The sequence below is a fragment of the Homo sapiens genome, chromosome 15, assembly GCF_000001405.40.
Source record: "Homo sapiens chromosome 15, GRCh38.p14 Primary Assembly".
In the NCBI taxonomy this organism is placed as follows: Eukaryota; Metazoa; Chordata; class Mammalia; order Primates; family Hominidae; genus Homo; species Homo sapiens.
The window spans coordinates 44,334,012-44,358,615 of NC_000015.10; the positions used below are offsets into that span (position 1 = coordinate 44,334,012).

Below are 24,604 nucleotides of genomic sequence, written 5' to 3' on the forward strand. Positions count from 1 at the left end.
GCCGCTCTCTTCTATTCTCTTAAGGAATACAGATGAGAGCTTTCCCTTTTTTTCCAAGCCAGTGTAATTCTCTTTCTGTTCTTCTATACTAGGCTATTTTTATGTTATTAATTAACTAATGCTTCTCCAATTCTTCCTTGCCATTATCCTACCCTAAATGGAACAAGGCATGGCAGGAATTGAGGTGCCCAGAGAACTTCTCCTTTCTGGGTAGCACATCAGCCCTTACCCTCTAGATCAGCTACCTAATTCTACTCCCCACCCTTCATTTCCTGTACTTTAACTACTATGGCAAGTTGGTTCTGTGCAATTTGAGTTTTCATAGAGACAAATCCAATGTTAGCTATATGAAATAAGCATAAATTGTATTCAGGGATTTATCTTTTTGTTTTATTAATTTTAAAATTAATTAACCAGCCACATGTCTATCATAGAAATGACTCTGGAAAAGAAGTCAGCAAACTATAGCCCGCAGGCTGAATTCAGCTTGCTGCCTGCTTTCGTACTGTTTAGAGGCCAAAAGTGGTTTTCACATTTTCAAATGGTTGAAAAAAATCAAGAAAAAATTATCTTAGTACTTGGGAAAATTATAAGAAATTTATATTTTGGTGTTCATACATAAAATTTTATTGAGACACAGCCATGCTTATTTGTTTACTGCGTTCATGCTGTAAGGGCAGAGAAACTCTCATAGCCCAGAGAAGACTAAGGAGACTAAGGACTTAAATGCAGTGTAGTAGCTGGGGGCGGTGGCTCACACCTGTAATCCCACCATTTTGGGAGGCCAAGGTGGGTGGATCATGAGGTCAGGAGTTCGAGACCAACCTGGCCAACATGGTGAAACCCCATCTCTACTAAAAATACAAAAAGTTATCCGGGCATGGTGGCTGGCACCTGTAATCCCGGCTACTCAGGAGGCTGAGGCAGGAGAATCCTTTGAACTGGGGATATGGGGGTTGCAGTGAGCCAGTACTGCACCACTGCACTCCAGCCTGACAGCAGAACGAGACTACATCTCAAAAATTAAAAAATTAAAAAATTAAAATAAATGCAGTGTAGTATCCTGAATTGGATCCTGAAACAGAAAAAGGACTTAGTGGAAAAACTGGTGAAATCTAAGTAAGTCTGGAGTTTAGGTAGTAATAATATACTGATTTTCTTTTTTAGTTTTGCAAATGTATCATGGTAATTATGGATGGTAGGTTAACAGGATTTTAACATTAGGGAAAACTGAGTAAGGGGTGATTACTTTTCTGTAAATCTAGAATTATTTCAGAATAAGAAGTTTATTTTAAAAACAATCAGGAGGCCCACTAACCAAATCACAAACATTACATCTAGAAAAGCATCTTATTTTATTAATATTAATATTGTCCATTCATAGAAAGGTACTGTCAATAGTACATTAAAGATACAACATCTTTGTTAACTATTTTCAATGGAAAAGTATTTTTGAACAGTAGCTTGTTGACTTTTAATTTTGTTCAATATTTTTCTTATCCATATCTGGAAAAGAGTGAAGAGTACTATAGCAATAGCCTTATGAGATAGCATTATAGTGAAGATGCACAGACATGCAAGCTGGCTGCTCAGGTTGTACCTCATGGATTTTCTCACCCTTGGTGTTTATATTGACATGTTCAAAAATTTCAGTTTATCATTTCATTCATCAATGATTAAACTATCAGAATTGATTATAGCTTACCAACTTACAGGAAATGTGGGATTTGGAGTCAGAAAGACTGTGGTTAGAATTCCTTCTTCACAATTCTCTAGTTTTGTGACTTTGGACAAACTGCTTTTTTTTTTTTTTTTTTTTCTGAGACAGAGTCTTGCTTTGTCACCCAGGCTGGAGTACAGTGGCCCGATCTCGGCTCACTGCAACCTCTGCCTCCCGGGTTCAAGCGATTCTCCTGCCTCAGCCTTCTGAGTAGCTGGGATTACAAGCATGCGCCACCATGCCCGACTAATTTTTGTATTTTTAGTAGAGACGGGGTTTCGCCATGTTGGTCCGGCTGATTTTGAACTCCTGACTTCATGATCCACCCGCCTCTGCCTCCCAAAGTGGTGGGATTACAGGCATGAACCACCGTGCCTGGCCCAAACTACTTAACTTTTTCTATTTAATGGAGTGTTGCACTGTTGCCCAGGCTGGAGTGCAGTGGTGCCATCTTGGCTCACTGCAAGCTCCGCCTCCCGGGTTTACGCCATTCTCCTGCCTCAGGCTCCCAAGTAACTAGGACTACAGGCACCCGCCACCACACCCGGCTAATTTTTTGTATTTTTTAGTAGAGTCGGGGTTTTACTGTGTTAGCCAGGATGGTCTCTATCTCCTGACCTCGTGATCCGCCCACCTCGGCCTCCCGAAGTGCTGGGATTACAGGCATGAGCCGCCGTGCCTGGCCCAAACTGCTTAAGTTTTTAATACCTCAGTTTTGTTTTTCTCAAAACTATTAATTTTATTTCTACTAGAGGACAGCTATGAAGGCAATTTGGAAACTATGAGACACGATGCAAATATTTATTGTTGATTTTACTTGCCAGGACACTGGAATACCTACACCTAATTGTCAGAGTACTCTTTCTCCTTTATTGTGACACACTCTTAAGATTTGGCTGTTGTGGCCGGGTACGGTGGCTCACGCCTGTAATCCCAGCACTTTGGGAGGCCGAGGTTGGCAGATGACGAGGTCAGGAGATCGAGACCATCCTGGCTAACACAGTGAAACCCCGTCTCTACTAAAAATACAAAAAATTAGCCGGGTGTGGTGGTGGGCACCTGTAGTCCCAGTTACTCGGGAGGCTAAGGCAGGAGAATGGCATGAACCTGGGAGGCGGAGCTTGGAGTGAGCCGAGATCGCGCCACTGCACTCCAGCCTGGGCGACAAAGCAAGACTCCGTCTCAGAAATAAATAATAATAAAAAAAAATATTTGGCTCTTGTTTTTCTAGATTCCATATAGATTTTTCGTACTATTTTTATAACATTACTAAGAATTATATTTCATACTGCATTAGAGTTTACAAAGCATTTATAGATGCATTAAATGTTGACTAGAGGAACCTGTATATGGCATCCCAAGCTTGTGTACTTGAATCCTTGCTGCTCCCAATTTTCCATGGAGGCAAACTTAATACTGGTCCACCAAGAGAATTGAGTTAGGCCTAACCATGTACCTGAAGATTCACATTTCCAAGAAGATGCTAGGTTAGGAACAGGTTAGAGGAAGCACTGACCTGTTTATTGTCCTGCCACTACTTGCTGTGTTTCGGTGGCCAGCACACTTAGGAAGAAGATTGCCTGTTTTTCACCCTTGCTCTTGAAGAGGCACCTGTGTACCAGTCTCCTCCTTACTGCCATCCTGCTTGGTTCTAACATATGCTTACAGAGAACCCACCCTGCCCATAGCACCCAGGAAGATGCCCAATTTTAGGCCATTAGGGTAACCTAGAGTATTCAGCAGGCTGTCTTGCAGAATCACACACCTCAGCATAGCCAAGCAGAGTCACCTCTGCCTACCAAATCATTCATTTACTGTAGCTAGAGATTTTCAAAAGTGTTATTCTTTGACTTTTTATCAGGTATAAAAATCACACAGAAAATAATGTATCCTGCATCTCCAATTGTTCATTATTTGAACCCATGGTATATGTTTTACAAGATGAACTGTTTCAGAACATTTAATTAATAGTTGTGTCGGTGGTTTAACAATTTGAACTGAAAAATATTATTACCAAATTTTGTCTAACAGCAAGAGACCCAAAAGATTCAATCAAATGATGGAAAGGAATTGGATATAAACAATCAAGTAGTACCTAAAAATATTCCAAAAGTAGCTGAGAATGTTGCAGATAAGAATGAAGAACCCTCAAGCAATCATATTCCACATGGGAAAGGTATTATTGTTATTATTCTTTTGTTTTGTATTAATAGGATATTGACTTTTTCTTCCCATTTTGAAGTGGATATTTTCAATCATAAAGAAAATTGTTTGATTTTAGTTCACACATGATTAAGTGTCTGCATTGTTTCAAATTTGGATTGTTTGATAGAAGAGAAAAAAGAGTAAGTTATTTTAGAGTTACAGCTATGTCCAAAGCAAGAGGTAAAGATGTTCAGTTGATGTAGCCTATTACTTTTAGAAACTGATTGTTACATTCCTTCAAAACATTTTCAAATTATGTAAGAAAAACGATAGAATTCTATCTTTTTGTTACTTGGGCAGAACAAATCAAAAGAGGTGGTGATGCAGGGATGCCTGGAATAGAAGAGAATGACCTAGCAAAAGTTGATGATCTTCCCCCTGGTAAGTAAAAATTGTTAGAGAATTCGACTAAAGTGATGATAATACATTTCATGTGACCCCATTCTCTTTTTCGGTAACACTTGGAAAAGTCACAGATATCTGGATGATCGATATTTCTACTTAATTAAGTACCCATTAATTGCCAGGACTTTTTTTGGATCCAACTTTTATAAAATTTTTTGCTAAGATGTATAAAATACTTGTTTTTGCCTTGATAAGAATCACCTATATTTGAATCTTTTCTTTGCGACTCTGAGTTTTTGCTTATGACAGTTGTACTATATAGAGTCATTTATGTTTACTAAAAGTATGCATGGCTCTTTTCTTTCCCACCAAATGTGCCCAGATTCCTGTGTTGTTGGTGTGCTTTAATATGGCATAGTAATACCCTAATAAGAGTTATTTAATTATTTAGTTTTGAGGGCTTGGCTTGTCCTTTTAGTGAATTACCCCACACTTTTGGATAGTTTGTTTAACATTTTTTTTCTTCTTTTCTGGCCACTTCTGTTCATTGTATGTCTCTTTCCTCCTTAATGTGTCTGCTGCTTATCCATTTTCACTTGAAGGCCTGCTCCCACTTGCTGCTATTCTAATCCCCTTCATTTTTTTCCTTCATGTCTCTTCTTTGTTTTTCTTGCCATATCTATGTTTCTTGGCTATTAATGGTACTCCTCCCTGCTGACTCCAATTTATTAGGGTAGAAAAATAAGAAATTAACAGCATGCCTCTACTGCTTTTGGCTGATTTTATTTCTTCTCAGTCTCAGTAATTACTTCTGTGATTATAGCTAGTTGTACATGACTGAAATTGCTGAATGTTTAGATCAAATAAATGAAATATTTGTCCTTTCATTTATATAGTTTTATTGTCTTCTCAAATTCTTATGGGTTTCCAATTCATAGTGATTTCCCCTAAAATAAAGGTAAGGACAAAAGCAATAACATGAATTTGAAAATAAAGAATCAGAATTAGCAAGCTTTGTTTGTAAGACAATGAAGTAATCCAGTGATTTTTTAAAATTAATTAATTAATTAATTTTGAGATACAGTCTCTCTCTGTTGCCCAGGCTGGAGTGCGGTGGCGTGATCTTGTTTCACTGCAACCTCAGCTTCCCAGGTTCAAGCATTTCTCCTGCCTCATCCTCCTGAGTAGCTGGGATTACAGGTGTGTGCCACCAAGCTCAGCTAATTTTTGTATTTTCAGTAGAGACGAGGTTTCACCATGTTGGCCAGCTGGTCTCGAACTCCTAACCTCAAGTGATTCTCCCACCTTGGCTTCCCAAAGTGCTGGGATTACAAGCATGAGCCACCAAGCCCGGCCTCTTTTTAAAATTTTGAGACAGGGTCTCACTCTGTCACCCATGCTGGAGTGCAGTGGTGCAGTCATGGCTCACTGCAGTTTTGATCTCCTGGGCGCAAGCTATCCATCCACCTCAGCTTCCTGAATAACTGAGACTACAGGTGTGTGCCATCATGCCCAGCTAATTTTATTTTTTATTTTCTTTATTTTTTTATTTTTGTGATATGGGATCTCGCTCTGTCACCCAGGCCAGAGTGCAGTGGCATGATCACAGCTCACTGCAGCCTCGATCTCCCGGGCATAAGCGATCTTCCCACCTCAGCCTCCTGAGTAGCAGGAACTACAGGCATGTGCCACCACACCTGACTAATTTTTATAGTTTTTTTGTAGAGATAAGTTTTCACCGTGTTGCCCAAGCTGGTCTCGAACTCCTAGCCTTAAGCAATCTGCCTGCCTTGGCCTCCCAAAATGCAGGGATTACAAGCATCAGCTACCATGCCCAGCCTATTTTCTTTATTTTTTTGTAGAGACAAGGTCTCACCATGTTGCCCAGGCTGATCTCAAACTCCTGGGCTTACGTGATCCTCCCAAAGTGCTAGGATTACAAACATGGGTCACTGCACCCAGCCAAAAAATATAGAGAGAGAGAGCCAAAAATTACATATATTTTTTTCAGAGACAGGGTCTCATTCTGTTGCCCAGGCTAGAGTGCAGTGATCATAGTTGATGGTGGCCTCAAACTCCTAGGCTCAAGCCATCCTCCCACCTCAGCCTTCTAGGACTACAGGCACACACCACCACACCTGGCTAATATTTTTATTTCTGTAGAGACGGTGCCTCACTGTTGCCCAGGCTACTCTTTAACTCCAGTCTTCAAGCGATAGTCCCGCCTCAGCCTCTCAAAGCACTGGGATTATAGGCGGGAGCTGTGGTGCCTAGCTGTAATTCGGTGATTTTTAAAGTGTGGTCTTTGGATCAGCAGTGTCAGCATTACCCAGGAACCTGTTAGACATGCAAATTCTTAGGTCTCATTCCAGACCTACTTAATCAGAAATTTTGGAATGGAGCCCAGCAATTTGTTTTAAAAAGCTCTCCTAGTGATTTTGATCTATGCTAAAATTTGAGAACCACTGACTTAGATGTTAATTTAAAGAAATGTTCAGAGCAGGAACTCTGTATTCTTCCAAATTTTTGTAGCACTTACTCTAGTCCTAGGCACAGTTGAGTTTTAGGTTGATTAATCTATTTTACATTGCGGTTGTGTATTTTAAAAACTATACCCAAAGTTTTGTCAAGGACATACTGCTGGTTTCTGATACATAGAAGCACTCTATTCAGATATGAGCAACAGTTGGCTACCTGCATACATTAATTTTTCATGTAATATACCTGAAAAATGTATTATTTGTGTTTAAATATATATAATTTTTGACCTCTATTATTTATTTCCACATACTTTTCTCTTTTTTTTTTTTTTTTTTTGAGACAGAGTCTCACTCTGTAGCCCAGGCTGGAGTGCAGTGATGCGATCTTGGCTCACTGCAAGCTTTGCCTCCCAGGTTCATGCCATTCTCCTGCCTCAGCCTCCCGAGTAGCTGGGACTACAGATGCCCACCACCACGTCCAGCTAATTTTTTGTATTTCTAGCAGAGACGGGGTTTCACCATGTTAGCCAGGATGGTCTCGATCTCCCAACCTTGTGATCCGCCTGCCTCAGCCTCCCAAAGTGCTGGGATTACAGGCGTGAGCCACCACGCCTGGCATATTTCCACATACTTTTCAAGTTAAAATTTTATCATTATTACTCTAAATGTGTAATGTCTCCATTTATTTTCTCATTGGTCATAATTTATTACCCAGCCACCAGGAAATTCCAGTGTTTAGGGTAAAATGAAATGGGAATACAAGAGATCTTAGAGATCTTGTCTTGACCATTATTAGGTATATTGTCCTATCAGACAGTGGTTTTCAAATGTCTTTCATATATGAACCACTCCAGCAGGATAGAAATCTTATCTTGCCGCTTCTGCTTTCTTAATAATAATTTTTAAAAAGTACACAACAATTTTATTAGATTTTTTTTTTTTTTTTTTTTTTTGAGACCGAGTTTCACTCTGTCGTCCAGCCTGGAGTGCAGTCGTGCGATCTTGGCTCACTGCATCCTCGGCCTCCCGGGTTTAAGCAGTTCTCTGCCTCAGCCTCCTGAGTAGCTGGGATTACAGCGCCCACCACCACGCCCGGCTAATTTTTTTTGTATTTTTAGTAGAGACGGGGTTTCACTATCTTGGTCAGGCTGATCCTGAACTCCTGACCTCGTGATCCACCTGCCTCAGCCTCCCAAAGTGCTGGGATTACAGGCGTGAGCCACCGCGCCTGGCCAATTTTATTAGATTTTATAAGAATGAATAGCGCTACTTTTGATGAGATGCCAACAAATTCATATCTGATTTTTACAATGTGAACTTGCCATATGCAACTTACATGGTTGCAGCACTATAATTTGGAACTGGGAAAAACACCACGTGTATTAACATTTTGTGTAAATTGATCGTTAATGTAAAAAATGTCACCATATGCAGACATTTTCTACATTGTCATGGCATATTAAAGGCCTTCCTCTGGATTGTTTTTTTTTTTACTTTTATTTTTATTTATTTATATTTTTTGGGACAGGGTCTTGCTCTGTCACCTAGGCTGGAGTGCAGTGGCATGATCATGGCTCACTGCAGCCTTGACCTCCTGGGCTCAAGTGGTACTCCCACATCGGCTCCCGAGTAGCTGGGACTACAGGCATGTGCCACCACATCCAGCTAATTTTATTGTTGTTGTTTGTAGAGACAGGGTGTCGTTATGTTATCCAGGCTGGTCTCAAACTCCTAGGCTCAAGCAGTCCTCCCACCTTAGCCTCCCAAAGCACTGCAACTACAGGTGTGAGCCACCATGCCTGGCCTGGATTAATATTTGAAGCTCTTTAAACTATTGGTGCTTTGCTTTGATAATCATTTTTCATAGCAATTATCCTTAATTATTTGAGGAAGTATTTTGAGTGTAAAGATTATTTTGAAATGGTAACTGGTAGAAGGAAACTTTGAGCTCTGTGATCATTCGGATGCAAACACGAAGGAAAGCCATTTCATATCTTTGTATCTGGAGCTCCCTACATGCTGCCTTGCATATAGCAGGGTCCCAGTAAATGTGTATGGTTGAATTATCAGGCTATCTTTAATGGTGAGACAATGGTCTCTGGAGTCAAATTGCCTAGATTCAAACCTTTGGCTCTTATCTTTTAACAATTATGTGACAATTTTTTGCCCTTATATGTAAAATAGAATAATAACAATTCCAGCCTGACAGGAATGTTGTGAAATTTAAATGTAAAACACTTAGAACAGTGCCTGGCACATAGCAAGTGCTATATATATCTTAGTTTCTATTGGCCGGGTGCAGTGGCTCATGCCTGTAATCTCAGCACTTTGGGAGGCTGAGGCAGGCAGATCACTTGAGGTCAGGAGTTCAAGACCCCCTGGCCAACATGGTGAAACCCCATCTCTGCTAAAAATACAAAAATTAGCTGGGTGTGGTGGTGGGCACCTGTAATCCCAGCTACTCGGGAGGCTGAGGCAGGAGAATCGCTAGAATCCAGAAGGCAGAGGTTGCAGTGAGCGAAGATCATGCCTCTGCACTCCAACCTGGAAGACAGAAAAAAAAAAAAAAACCAACTTAGTTGTTGTTGTTATTATTATTTCATGTAATTGTAGCCCCATTTTTAATCTCTTTGCCACTCCTTTTTCTCAGTTTTGTCTTTTCTTCCTGAAGTAGAGTATGCCAAAATTCTTAATGTCAATGTAAGTTCTGGTGTATATGTGGTGTCCTATTAGCTATAGAGGCAGTAACCCCAAAGAGGAAGCAGAGAAAAGAACATATCCTGGCTGGGCATAGTGGCTCATACCTGTAATCCCAGCACTTTAGGAGGCTGAGGCGGGCGGATCACTTGAGGCCAGGAGTTTGAGACCAGCCTGGCCAACATGGTGAAACCCCGTCTGTACTAAAAATACAAAATTAGCTGGGCATGGTGGCACACACCTGTAATTCCAGCTACTTGGGAGGCTGAGGCAGGAGAATCCCTTGAGCCCAGGAGGCAGAGCTGCAGTGAACTGAGATCGCGCCACTACACTCCAGCCTGAACAACAGAGTGAGACTCTGTCTCAAAAAAAAAAAAAAAGAAAAAAATATATATCCTTGTAATTTAAAAATGGACTGTTATATATACTGACAGTTTTGTTTAAGATAGCTAGGACCATACTAGAAATTATGGTAGAGCAATGGGAAACTATCTTTAAATATACCTCTGAGGCCGGGCACAGTGGCTCACGTCTGTAATCTTAGCTGAGATTACAGCTGGATAGGCTGAGGCGGGAGGGTCGCTTGAACCCAGGAGTTTGAGACCAGCCTGAGCAACATGATGAAACCCTGTGTCTACAAGAAATAGAAAAATTAGCCAGTCATGGTGGCACACGCCTGTAGTCTCAGCTACTCAGGAGGCTAAAGTGAGAGAACTGCTTGAGCCCAGGAGGCGGAGGCTTCAGTGAGCAGAGATCACACCACTGCACTCCAGCCTGGTGTCAGAGCGAGACCCTGTCTCAAAAAAAAAAAAAAATGTATATGTGTGTGTATATATATATATATATATATATACCTCTGAAATAGTCAAGGGTTATAGAGCATGTGCCTAGGGTTAGCATTTTGTTTCAGCTTCTCAGCTCCCAAAGCCATACAGTGAACCCTTACTGGGTTTTGTTTGTTTTTAATGCTTGATTTGGAACTAATCGCCAAGACTTTACAGGAACTTTATGATTTAATGAATTACCTTCTTGACCTGGATACTTACCTATATGCTGATTTAGATAACTGTAATGTTAGGCAGTTACATATTTATATCAGTAGTTTTTAAACTTTTAAAATCTTTTTGTTATTTATTATTTTTTATTTTTAGAGACAGGATCTTATTCTGTCATCCAGGCTAGAGTACAGTGGCATGGTCATAGCTTACTGCAGCCTCAAACTCCTAGACCCAAGCAATCCTTCTGCCTTACCTTCTAGAGGGGCTGCGATTACAGGCTTGTGCCACCACATGCAAAACTTATTTATTTATTTATTTAATTAATTTTTTTTTTTTTTTGAGTCGGAGTCTCGTTCTGTCGCCCAGGCTGGAGTGCAGTGGCGCAATCTTGGCTCACTGCAAGCTCTGCCTCCTGGGTTCGCGCCATTCTCTTGCCTCAGCCTCCTGAGTAGCTGGGACTACAGGCACCCGCCACAAGTAGCTGGGACTACAGGCACCCGCCACCATGCCTGGCTAATTTTTTCTTTTTTTTTTTTAATACAGACGGGGTTTCACCATGTTAGCCAGGATGGTCTCGATCTCCTGACCTCGTGATCCGCCTGCCTCGGCCTCCCAAAGTGCTGGAATTACAGGCGTGAGCCACCGCGCCTGGCCTATTTTTTTATTTTTTGAGATGGAGTTTCGCTCTTGTAGCCAAGGCTGGAGTGCAATGGTGCGATCTCAGCTCACTGCAACTGCCGCCTCCCAGGTTCAAGCAATTCTCCTGCCTCAGCCTCCTGAGTAGCTGGGATTACAGGTGCCCGCCACCACATCCAGCTAATTTTTTTTTTTTTTGAGACAGAGTCTCGCTGTGTCGCCCAGGCTGGAGTGCAGTGGCACGATCTCGGCTCACGGCAAGCTCCGCCTCCCGGGTTCATGCCAGCCTCTGAGTAGCTGGGACTACAGGTGCCCGCCACCACGCCCAGCTAATTTTTTGTATTTTAGTAGAGACGGGGTTTCAACTGTATTGCCCAGGCTGGTCTCGAACTCCTGAGCTCAGGTAATCCGTCCGCCTCGGCCTCCCAAAGTGCTAGGATTACAGGTGTAAGGCACTGTGCCCAGCCTTTCTTCTTGATATTTAGGAGTTCTTTAACAGTATGCAATGCAAATATCTTCTCTGTATTATACCTATAAACAAAGAGGAAAATCGTATTTCTTTCTTGGAAACTCTTTTTTAGCTTTAAAAATCCAATCAGTCCCAGTAAAAATGTAAAAATTACCCCTACTGACTTACTTTGGGGGAAACCCTCTATAGGTATAAAGATATTTAAGTACCTGAGCAATTGAAAGTTATTTTCCTAATTAATAACTTGGAAAGAAAAAAATTACTCCCTTGGTTCTTATTTTTCTTTATTTTTATTTTTATTTTCTATCAACAGCATCCAGGAAAAGCTTTTAGGTTTTGTGTGTGTGTGTGTGTGTGTGTGACAGAGTCTCGCTCTGTTGTCCAGGCTGAAGTATAGTAGCGTGATCTTGGCTCACTGCAACCTGCGCCTCCTGGGTTCAAGCAATTCTTCTGTCTCAGCCTCCCAAGTAGCTGAGATTACAGGCGCCTGCCACCATGCCTGGCTAATTTTTTGTATTTTTAGTAGAGATGGGGTTTCACCATGTTGGCCAGGCTGGTCTTGAACTCCTGACCTCAGGTGATCCACCCGCCTCGGCCTCCCAAAGTTCTGGGATTACAGGTGTGAGCCGCAGCACCTGGCCAGGCTTTTAGTTTTTAAATATTAGGTAGAGGTAATCTATTTGTAAGATAACAGATTTTCTAGAACAGAGGCTTCGAATGGTGGTTGCATATTGGAATCTCTGGGGAGCTTGAAAAAAAAAAAGATACTGATGCCTAAATTCCATTCCAGAGATTTTGTTATATTTGTTCTGGGGTTTGACTTGGGCATTGAAGGTTTAAATGGTCACTAGGTGATTACATTATGTAGCTAAGGCAGAAAAACCTTTACTCTAGACAGATTCTCTAGATCTATACTGTATTAATGCAGTAGCCATTGGTCACATGTGGCTATTTACATTTAAATTCATTACATTTAGGTGAAATTAAATTCAGTTTCTTAGTCAAACTAGCTACACTTAAAGTGCTTACTTAGTAGTTACCTGTGGCTAAAGGCAACTGTGTTGGACAGCACCAATGCAGAACATTTTCATTATTGTAGAAAGTTCTGTTGGACAGTACTGCTCTAGATTGAAACCAGTAATAGTGGTTTTATGGGGAAGAAGATTAGGACAGGGATGAAAAGGTGACTTGCTTTTCATTATATAATCTTCTGAACTTTTAAATTTTTGTATAATACTAATAAACTACCTATTCAAAAAAATCATTATTTAAAAAAATTAAAGAGAGGCTAGGTGTAGTGGCTTACGCCTGTAATCCCAACACTTTGGGAAGCCTAGGCAAGAGGATTGCTTGAGGCCAGGAGTTCGAGGCTTGGGCAACATAACAAGACCTCATATCTTAGGAAAAAAAAAAATGGCTAGGCATAGTGGCACACACCTGTAGTCCTAGCTACTTGGGAAGCTGAGGTGGGAGGATCACATGAGCCCAGGAGTTCGAGATTGCAGTGAACTGTGATTGCACCACTGTACTCCAGTCTGGGTGACAGAGAGAGACCCTGTCTAAACAAAAAAGAGAGAGAGAGAGAGAGAGAGGAGGCAGAGTGAGATAACTGAATAGAAGCCTCCACTGATTGTCCTCCCTGCAGTAGCACCAAATTTGACAACTGTCTACACAGAAAAGTACCTTCATGAGAGCCAAAAATCAGGTGAGCAATCACAGTACCTGGTTTTAACTTAATATTGTTAAAAGGGGCATGGAAGGAGTAGGAAAGACAGTCTTGAATTGAAGACACCACCCCCCAACCCCTGCAGTGGCCTTGTGGCATGGAGAGAGAATCTATACACTTCCAGGAGTGAGAGTGCAGTAATTGTGAGACTTTGCACTGGAACTTAGTGCTGCCAACACTGAGCAGAACTCAGCCAATGCCCACAGAGGAAGCCTGTGGACTAACCCTAGTCAGAGGGGAAATTTTCTCTCCCAGCAGGCAGAACTTGAGTTTGGCTAGCCTTGCCACCGCGAGCTAGAGTGCTTTGGGGTCTTAAATGAACTAGAAAAGCAGTCTAGGCTAGAAGGACTGCAACCCCCAGGCAAGTACTAGAGTAGTGCTGGGATCAGAGCCAGTGGTCTTGCGGGGGCACACAACCTAGTGAGACAGCAGCCAGGGTGACTAAGGAAGTGCTTGTGTCACCCCTTCCACACAGTGCCAGCCAGTGCATCTTGCCAGTACAAAAGAGACCCCTTCCTTCTGTTTGCGGACAGGAAAGGGAAGAGTAAAGAGGACTTCATTTTGCAACTTGAATACCAGCTCAGCCACAGGCATCTAGGGTACCAAGTAGAGTTGTGAGACCCCTATTCCAGGCCCTAGATGCCTATAGTGTCTAGACACAGTCAGCGCCAGAAGGGAACCTCCTGCCTTGAAGGGAAGGACCTAGACCTGGCAAGATTCATCACCTGCTAACTAAAGAGCCCTTGGGCCCTGAATAATCAGCACTGGTAACCAGATAGGAGATGCCATGGCCTTGAGTGAGACTCTGAGACATGCTGGCTTCAGGTATGACCCAGCAGTAGCGACTGCAAGTAAAGACTCTGCTTAACAAAAGGAGAGGGAAGAATAAAGGAGATTAGGTCTTGCAGTGTAGATTTGAACTTGGTCATAGTTGGGAAGAGTACCAAATGGGCTCTTAGGGTCCCTAATTCCAGGCCTTAGCTCCTGGATGGTAGTTCTGGACCTACACTATGCTAGAAGGGAGCCTGTTGCTCTGAAGGGTGAGTCCCAGGCCTGAGTGTTCACAAGATGACTGAAGAGCCCTTGGGCCTTAAGTGAACACTGTCGATACCCTGGCCTCCCCATGGGAGGCCACAGTACTCCCCATGGGCCTGTGGTAGTGGTGGACACAGGGAGAGACTGAGACTCTGTTTTGGTGCCAAACTTACTGCAGTAGAAAGAATACCAGGTAGATTTCTGACATTTCCAATTCTAGGCCCTGGTTCCCAGACATCATCTCTGAACCTGCTGGGGGAATTTGCCACCCTGAAAGGAAGGACACAAGCCCAGCTGGCTTCATCATCTGCTGATTGTGGAGCTCTAGGGCCTTGAGCAAACATATGTGGTAGCCAGGTAGTGGTTACAGCAGGCCTTGGTAAGACCCAGTGCTGTATTGGCTTCAGGTCTAACCCAGCACAGTTCTAATGGTGGTGCCACAGTGGTACATGCCTATAGTCCCAGCTACTCCAGAAGCTGAGGTGGGAAGATCACTTGAGCCTGGGAGATTGAGGCTGCAGTGAGCTGAGATCATGCCATTGCACTCCAGCTTGGGCACCAGAGCAAGACCTTGTCTCAAAAAAAGAAAAAAAAAAATTAAGACCCAACAATCTGTTGCCTACAAGAAACACACTCACCTGTAAAGACACACATAGGCCGGGTGCAGTGGCTCACACCTGTAATCCCAGCACTTTGGGAGGCAAAGGCAGGCGGATCACCTGAGGTCGGGAGTTTGAGACCAGCCTGACCAACATGGAGAAACCCCGTCTCTACTAAAAATACAAAATTAGTGGGACGTGGTGGTGCATGCCTGTAATCCCAGCTACTCGGGAGGCTGAGGCAGGAGAATCGCTTGAACCCGGGATGCAGAGGTTGCGGTGAGCTGAGATCGCGCCATTGCACTACAGCCTGGGCAACAAGAGTGAAACTCCGTCTCAAAAAAAAAAAAAAAAACCACACAAAGACTGAAAATAAAGGGATGAGAAAAGATGTTCCATGCAAGTAGAAACCAAAAAAAAGAGCAGAAGTAGCTATGCTTAAACAAAATGGATTTCAGGACAAAAACTAAGAGACAAAGAAGGTCATTATATATAAAAGGGTCAATTCAGCAATGGGATATAACAGTTATACATATATATGCACCCAGCATTGGAACACCCTGATACATAAAGCAAATATTAGAGCTAAAGAGAAAGATAAATTTCAATACAATAATAGCTGAAGACTTCAACACCCCACTTTCAGCATTGGACAGATCATCCAGACAGAAAATCAACAAAGAAACATCAGACTTCATCTACACTATAGACCAAATGGACCTAATAGATATTTACAGAACATTTCATCCAGTGGCTGCAGAATACACATTCTTCTCCTCAGTACATGCATCATTCTCAAGGGTAGAGGCCATATGTTAGACCACCAAACAAGTCTTAAAACATTCAAAAAATTGACGTTATATCAAGTATCTTCTCTGAACCACAATGGAATAAAATTATAAATCAATAACAAGAGGCATTTTGGGAACTATACAAACACATGGAAATTAAACAATATGCTCCTGAGTCACTAGTGGGTCGATGAAGAGATTAAGAAGGAAATTGAAAAATATCTTGAAACAAACATAATGGAAACACAATATACCAAATCCTGTGGGATACAGCGAAAGCAGAACTAAGAGGGAAGTTTATAGCTATAAGCTCCTACATCAAAAAAGAAGAAAAACTTCAAATAAACAACCTAACAATGCATCCTAAAGAACTAGAAAAGCAAGAGTAAACCAAACCTAATGTTAGTAGAAGGAAAAATAAAGATCAGAGCAGACATAAATGAAATTGAAATGAAGAAAACAATACAAAAGATCAAGGAAAGAAAAAGTTGGTGTTTTGAAAACATAAAACTGACAAACTTTTAGCCAGACTAAGAAAAAAAGAAGACCCAAATAAAGTCAGAAATGAAAAAGGAGATATTGCAATAGATACTGCAGAAATTCAAAGGATCACTAGAGGGTACTATGAGCAACTATATGCCAGTAATTTGGAAAACCTAGAAGAAAGGGTTAAATTCCTAGACACATACAGTCTACTAAGATAGAACCATGAGGTAATATAAAACTTGAACAGACTGACAACAAGTAACAAGTTGAAGCTGTAATAAAAAGTCTTCCAGCAAAGAAAAGCCCGGGACCCAATGGCTTCACTGTTGAACTCTACCAAACACTTAAAGAAAAACTAAAACCAATCCTATTGAGACTATTCTGAAAAATAGAGGAGGAGGGAATACTTCCAAACTCATTCTAGGAGACGAGTAATAGCCTGATACCAACACCAGTTAAAGACACATCAAGGAAAAAGAAAACCACAGACCAATATCTCTGATGGACATTGGTGCAAAAATCCTTAACAAAACACTATCAAACCGAATTAAGGAACATATTAAAAAGATCATGTATCATTGAACAAGTGGGTTTTATCCCAGGGATGAAAGGATGCTTCAGTATACATGACTCAATTAATGTGGTATGTCGTATCAACAGAATGAAGGACAGAAACCATATGGTCATTTCAATTGATGCTGAGAAAGCATCTGATAAAATTTAACATCTCTTCATGATAAAAATCCTCAAAAAACTGGATGTAGAAAGAAGAACATACCTCAACATAATAAAAGCCATATGTGGCAGACCCACAGCTAGTATCATACTGAAGAGGGAAAACTGAAAGCCTTTTCTCTAAGATCTAGAACACGAAGTGGATGCCCACTTTCACCACTGTCATTTGATCTAGTACTGTTATTTGACCTAGACTTCCAGTACTAGTACTGGAAGACCTAGCTAGAGCAATAAGAAAAGAGAAAGAAATAAAGGACATCCAAATCAGAAAGGAAGGTGAAAGGATTCCCACTTTAAGCACTGCTATTTAACCTAGTACTGGAAGTCCTAGCTAGAGCAATCAGACGAAAGAAAGAAAGGTGGCCAGGTGTGGTGGCTCACGCCTGTAATCCCAGCACTTTGGGAGGCCGAGTTGGGTGGATCACGAGGTCAGGAGATAGAGACCATCCTGGCTAACATGGTGAAGCCCCGTCTCTACTAAAAATAACAAAAAATTAGCCGGGCGTGGTGGCGGGTGCCTATAGTCCCAGCTACTCAGGAGGATGAGGCAGGAGAATGGCGTGAACCCGGGAGGCACAGCTTGCAGTGAGCTGAGATTGCGCCGCTACACTCCAGCCTGGGCAACAAAGCAAGACTCTGTCTCAAAAAAAAAAAAAAAAAAAAAACACAGACAAACAAAGAACATCAAAATCGGAAAGGAAGAAGTCAAATTATCCTTGTTTGCAGGTGATGTTATATTTGGAAAAACCTAAAGACTCCACCAAAAAACTATTAGAACTGATAAATTCAGTAAAGTTGCAGCATACTAAATCAACATACAGAAATCAGTAGCATTTCTATATGCCAACAGCGAATAATCTGAAAAAGAAATCAGGAACATAATCCCATTTACAATAGCTACAAATAAAATACCTAGGAATTAACTTTACCAAAGAAATGAAAGATCTTTACAATGAAAACTGTAAAACATTGGTGAAAGAAATTGAAGAGGACACACACACAAAAAGGAAAGATATTCCATGTTCATAGATTGGAAGAATCAATATTGTTAAAATGTTCATACTACCCAAAGCAGTCACAGATTCAATGCAATCCCTATCAAAATATGACATTCTTCCCAGAAATGGAAAAAACAATCCTAAAATTTATATGAAATCATAAAAGGCCTAGAATAGCCAAAGCTATCCTGAGAAAAAAGAACAAAATAGGAGGAATCACATAACCTGACTTCAAATTATACTACAGAGCCGTAGTAACCAAAACAGCATGGTACTGGCATAAAAACAGACACATAGACCAATGAAACAGAATAGAGAACCTAGAAACAGTTCATACATCTACAGTGAACTCATTTTTGACAAAGGTGCCAAGAATATGCACTGGGGAAAGGACAGTCTCTTCATTAGATGGTGCTGGGGAAGCTGAATATCCATACACAGAAGATCGAAACTAGCTCCCTGTCTCTCACCACATACAAAAGCCATATCAAAATGAATTTACGACTCAAATCTAAGACCTGAACTATGAAACTACTAAAAACAACATTGGGGAAACTCCCTGGGACATCAGACTGGGCAAAGATTTCTTGAGTAAAACCCCACAAACACAGGCAACCAAAGAAAAGATGGACGGATGGGATGACATCAAGTTAAAAAAGCTCTGCACAACAGAGGAAACAATCAGAAAAGTGAAGAGTAGCCAGGTGCAGTGGCTGACACCTTTAATCCTAGTACTTTGGGAGGCCGGCAGATCACCTGAGGTCAGAAGTTCGAGACCAGCCTGGCCAACATGGTGAAACCCCGTCTCTACTAAAAATACAAAAATTACCTGGGCATAGTGGCAGGCACCTGTAATCCCAACTACTCAGGAGGCTGAGGCAGGAGAATCGCTTGGACCTGGGAGGCAGAGGTTGCAGTGAGCCCAGATCGCGCCATTTTAGTCCAGCCTGGGCAATAAGAGCAAAACTCCATCTCAAAAAAAAAAAAAGAAAAGAAAAGAAAAGTGAAGAGGCAACCCACAGAATGGGAGAAGATATTTGCAAACTATCTATCTGACAAGAGATAAATAATCAGACTATATAAGGAGCTCAAACAACCATATAAGAAAAAAAATCTTATAATTCAGTTAGAAAATAGACAAAAGGTCTGAATAGACATATGTCAAAAGAAGACGTACAAATGGCAAAGCAGATATATGAAAAAGTGCTCAATATCATTGGTCATCAAAGAACCATAAATCAAAACTATAATGAGATATGACTTTAGCCTGTTTAAAATGGATTGTATCCAAAAGACAGGCAATAACAAATGCTAACAAGGATATGGAGAAAAGCGAACCCTCATACACCATTGGTGGGAATGTGAATTAGTTCAGCCACTATGAAGAACAGTTTGGAGTTCCTCAAGAAACTAAAAATAGAGCTACCATATGATCTAGCCATTCCACTGCTAGGTATGTACTTAAGAGAAAGGATATGACCTGGCATTCATATGCAGAAAAATATATATATAGAAAGGAAATCAGTATATTAAAGAGATATTTGCACTCTCTTGTTTATTGCACTATTCGCAGTAGCCAGGATTTGGAAGCAACCTAAGTGCTCATCAGCAGATGATGGATAAGGAAAATGTGGTATATATACACATTGGAGTACTATTTAGCCTTAAAAAAGAATGAGATCCTGTCATTTGTAACAACATGGATGGAACTATGGTCATTATGTTAGGTGAAATAAGCCAGACACAGAAAGACAAACTTCACGTATCCTCACTTATTTGTGGTGGGAACTAAAAATTAAAATAGTTGAACTCATGGGAATAGAGAGTAGAATAATGGTTACCAGAGGCTGTGAAGCTTATTGGGGAAGGGTAAGGGGGAAGTGGGGATGGTTAATTGGTACAAAAAATAGAAAGAATGAACAAGGTCTGGTATTTGATAGAACAGCAGAGTGACTAAATAATAGTTTAATTCTATGTTTTTAAACACCTGAAAGAGTATAATTGGGTTTTAACACAAAAGATAATGCTTGAGGTGATGGATGCCCCATTTACCCTGGTGTGATTATTACACGTTGTATGCCTGTATCAGAATATCTCCTGTACCTCATAAATATATACACCTACCATGTACCCACAAAAATTAGAAGAAGAAAATGTAAGTAATGCATTTCCTCAAAAAATTATAGGTAATTAGTATTAATCCACTGTATGTAATTGACATCTATTAACCACTTCATCCAACAACAGCAGGGACTCATTCTTCTCAAGCTGTCACAGAACACTCACCAAGATAGACCATAAAACGGGAATTGAACAATGAGAACACATGGACACAGGAAGGGGAACATCACACACCAGGGCCTGTTGTGTAGTGGGGGGAGGGGGGAGGGATAGCATTAGGAGATATACCTAATGCTAAATGACAAGTTAATGGGTGCAGCACACCAACATGGCACATGTATACATATGTAACAAACCTGCACGTTGTGCACATATACCCTAAAACTTAAAGTATAATAATAATAAAATAAAAATAAATAAATAAAATAAAATAAAATGAGACAGCAACCACACACAAAAAAATACTTATAAAACAGATTTTAAAAAATATTAATCACATAATGTCTACTCTCAGACCTCAGTGGAATTAAACTGAAAATCAATAGAGAAAGATAGGCTCTCTGTTCCTTCTGTGTGATAAAGGACACAGCAGCAGCCATGCAGCAGCAGCCATGCAGCAGCAGCCATGTCCCTGAGACAGTTGGTGAAATTGAAGGTTGTAGTAAACACATTTGGCTGTACTGGGCATCTGGTCAACTGGGCTGCTTTTAACTCTGGCAAAGTGGATATTGTCATCATCAGTGACCCCTTCACTGACTCCAGCTACATGGTCTACATGTTCCAGTATGATTCCACCAGTGGCAAGCTCCACAGCACTGTCAAGGCTGAGAATCACAAGTTTGTCATCAGTGGAAATCCTATCTCCATCTTCCAGGAGCAAGATACCACCAAAATCAAATGCAGTGATGCTGGCACTGGTTGTGTTGTGGAGTCAACTGGTGTCTTCACTATCTTGTATATGGCTGGGGCACACTTAGAGGAGAGAGCCAAAGAGTCATCATCTCTGCTGCCTTTGACCCCCTGTTTGATGGGCATGAACCATGAGAAGTACGAAAGCAACCTCACAATCATCAGCATTGCCTCCTGCACCACCAACTGCTTAGCATTCTCTGACCAAGATCATCCATGATAGCTCTGGCATCATGGAGGGACTCCTGACCACAGTCCCTGCTATCACTGCCACCCAGGAGACCTATGGATGGCTTTTCTGGGAAACTGTGACGTCATGGTTGTGGAGCTCTGCAGAACATTATTCCTGCATCTACTGGAACTTCCATGGCTGTGGGCAAGGACATCCCTGAGCTGAATGGGGAGATCACTGGCATGGCCTTCCTCGTCCCTACCACCAATGTGTCAGTTGTGGACCTGACCTGCTGTCTGGAGTAACCTGCCAAATATGATGGCTTCAAGAAGATGGTGAAGCAGGCATCGGAAGGCCCTTCGAGGGCACACTGGGCTACACTGAACACCAAGTTGTCCCCTGTGACTTTAACGGTGACACTCCCTCTTCCACTTTTAATTCTGGGGCTAGCATTGCCCTCAGCAACCATTTTGTGAAGTTAATTTCCTGGTATGACAATTAGTTTTGCTACAGCAACGGGGTGGTGGACCTCATGGTCCACATGGCCTCCAAGGAATAACAGCCCTCCGGACTACCAGCCCTAGTGAGAGCACGAGAGAAAAAGAGAGGCTCTCAGCTGCTGAGGAGTCCCTGCCTCACTCCGTCCCCCACCACACCAAGAAGCTCCCCTCCACCACAGTTTTCATGCCATATCCCCTGAAGAATGGGAGGGGTCTAGAGAGCCCCCACCTTGTCATGTACCGTCAATAAAGTCTTCTGTACTCAGCCAAAAATAAAATAAAATAATAGAAAGATAACTGGAAAATCCCAAAATATGTGGAGATTAAACAACTATTTCTGAATAATGCATGGATCAAAGAAGAAATCTCAGGAGAAATTTAAAAATATTTTGAACTAAATGAAAATGAAAACACTACTTATCAAAATTTATAGGATGCAGTGAAAGTCATGCTTAGAGGGAAATGTATAGCAGTGAATGCATATGTTAGAAAAGTAGAAAGGTCTAAAATCAGTCATTTAAGTTTCCACCTTAGGAAATTGAAAAAAAAAAGGCAAATTAAATCCAAAGTAAGCAAAATAAAAGACATAATAAAAAATTAGAACAGAAGTCAATAAAATTAAAAACAGGAAATCATTAGAGAAAATCAATGAAACCAATAGCTGGTTCTTTGACAGTATTAATAAAAATGCATAAGCCTCTAGCAAGGCTAAGAGAAAAAGAGAGAGGACACAGATTACTTCTGTCAGAAATGAAAGAGGGTTATCACTACAGATCCCATGGACATTAAAAGGAAAATAAAGGAATACTATGAACAACTCTGTGCCTACCAATTTGATAACCTAGATGAACTAGACCACTTCCTTGATAGACACAGTCTGCCAGCTCTACAAAAAGATAATCTGAACAGGTTTATATGTATTAAATAAATTGAATCAATAATAACCTTCCAAAGCAGGAAGCACCAGGTACAGATGGGTTTGCCGGTGAATTCTACCAAATATTTAAGAAGAAACTATACCCCTTATCTACAGTCTCTTTCAGAAGATAGAAGCAGAGGGAATACTTCCTAATTCATTCTATGATGCCATTGTTATGCCAGTACCAAAACCAGAGAAAGACACTACTACAGACCAATGTCTCTCATGATCTTAGATGAGACAAAACTACAGACCAATATCTCTCTTGATCTTATATGCAAAAATTCTCAATGAAATATTAGCAAGTTGAATTCAACAATGTATACAAGAATTATAGGCCAGGCACAGTGGCTCATGCCTGTAATCCTAGCACTTTGGGAGGCCAAGGTGGGCAAATTGCTTGAGCTCAGGAGTTCAAGACCAGTCTGAGCAACATGGCAAAAACCCATCTCTATAAAAAAATACAAAAACTAGCCAGGTGTGGTGGCACACCCCTGTGGTCCCAGCTACTCAGGAGGTTGAGATGGGAGGATTGCTTGAGCCCAGGAGATGGAGGCTGCAGTAAGCCAAGATCACATCATTGCCTAGGTGACAGCAAGACCCTGTCCCCACCACCACCCGCCCCCCAAAAAAAAGAAAAAGAAAAAAGTGTATCACAAGCAAGTGGGATTTATCCCAGGTATGCAAATCTGGTTTAATATTAAAAAATCAAGTAACATAATTCATCGTATTAGCAGGCTAAAAAAAAAATCACATGATTATATCAGTGAATACAGAAAAAGCATTTGGCAAAATCCAAAACTCATTCATGATAAAAACACAGTTAACTAGGAATACAGGGAAACTTTCTCAACTTGATACAGAATATCTACAAAAAAATCTACAAGTAACAACATACCTAGTGATGAGAAACTAGAAGTTTTCCTAACATCATGAACAAGGCAAGGATGTGCCTTCTCACCACTCCTTTTTAATATTATACTGGAAGTCTTAGCTAGTGTAATAAGGCAAAAAGGGAAACAAAAGGTAAACACATTGGGAAGGAAGAAATAAAACTCTCTTTGTTCACAGATGTCATTATCTTATATGTAGAAGACCCAAGAGAACTGACAAAAACGCTCCTGGAACTAGTAAGTGATTATAGAAAGGTTGCAGGATATAAGGTTAATATACAAAAGTTAATCACTTTTCCATATACCAGCAGTCAACAAATAGAATTTGGAATTAAAAATACAATACCATTTATAGTAGTACTCTCAAAATTCAATTATTTAGGTATAAATTTAATAAAATGTGTGAAAGGTCTATATAAGGAAAACTACAGAACTCTAAGGAATGAAATCAAAGAAGAATTAAATAAATGGAGAGCTATTGAGTTTCATGGATAGGAAGACTCAGTATTGTCAAAATGTCAGTTCCTCGGAGTATGATTTATAGATTGATATGATCCAAGTCAAAATCCCAGGAAGTTATTTTGTGGATATTGACAAACTGATTCCAAAGTTTATATAGAGAGGCATGCCAGGCACCATGGCTCAAGCCTGTAATCCCAGCACTTTGGGAGGCCAAGGCAGGCAGATCACCTGAGGCCAGGAGTTTGAGACCAGCCTGGCCAACATGGCAAAACCCTGTCTCTACTGAAAATACAAAAATTAGTTGGGTGTGGTGGCGCACATCCGTAATCCCAGCTACTCAGAAGGCTAAGGCATGAGAGTCACTTGAACCCAGGAGGCGGAGGTTGCAGTGAGCCAAGAGCACTTCATGCACTCCAGCCTGGGTGACAGAGCGAGACTCTGTCTCAAAGAAACAAAACAAAATAAAGTTTATATAGAGAAGCAAAACATTCAGAATAGCCAACACAATATTGAAGTCAAAAGTTGGACGACTGATGCTACTCGACCTCGAGACTTAATATTAGAGCTACAGTAATCAAGACAGTATGGTATTGGTCAACAAACAGAGAAATAGACCAATGAAACAGAACAGAGAGTCCAGAGATAGACACACATAAATATAGTCAACTGGTCTTTGACAAAGAAGCAAAGGCAATACAATGGGGTAGA

General features: G+C 41.0%; 1 protein-coding gene and 1 pseudogene across 3 annotated transcripts in view; both read left to right on the top strand.

Moving 5' to 3' along the window:
- GOLM2 (golgi membrane protein 2) overlaps positions 1–24,604 on the top strand; it is a 127,040-nt gene that overhangs the window by 45,293 nt on the left and 57,143 nt on the right. For 2 of the 3 annotated variants that reach the window (NM_138423.4, NM_177974.3), the window contains exons 5-6: positions 3,752–3,896; positions 4,226–4,306. In NM_138423.4, coding sequence (NP_612432.2) covers positions 3,752–3,896; positions 4,226–4,306 — 226 coding nt within the window. Of the gene's footprint in view, positions 1–3,751; positions 3,897–4,225; positions 4,307–11,863; positions 13,256–24,604 lie in introns of all 3 variants that reach the window. The other variant, NR_157849.2, reaches the window with a different exon arrangement.
- Positions 20,597–21,891, top strand: GAPDHP43 (glyceraldehyde 3 phosphate dehydrogenase pseudogene 43; annotated as a pseudogene).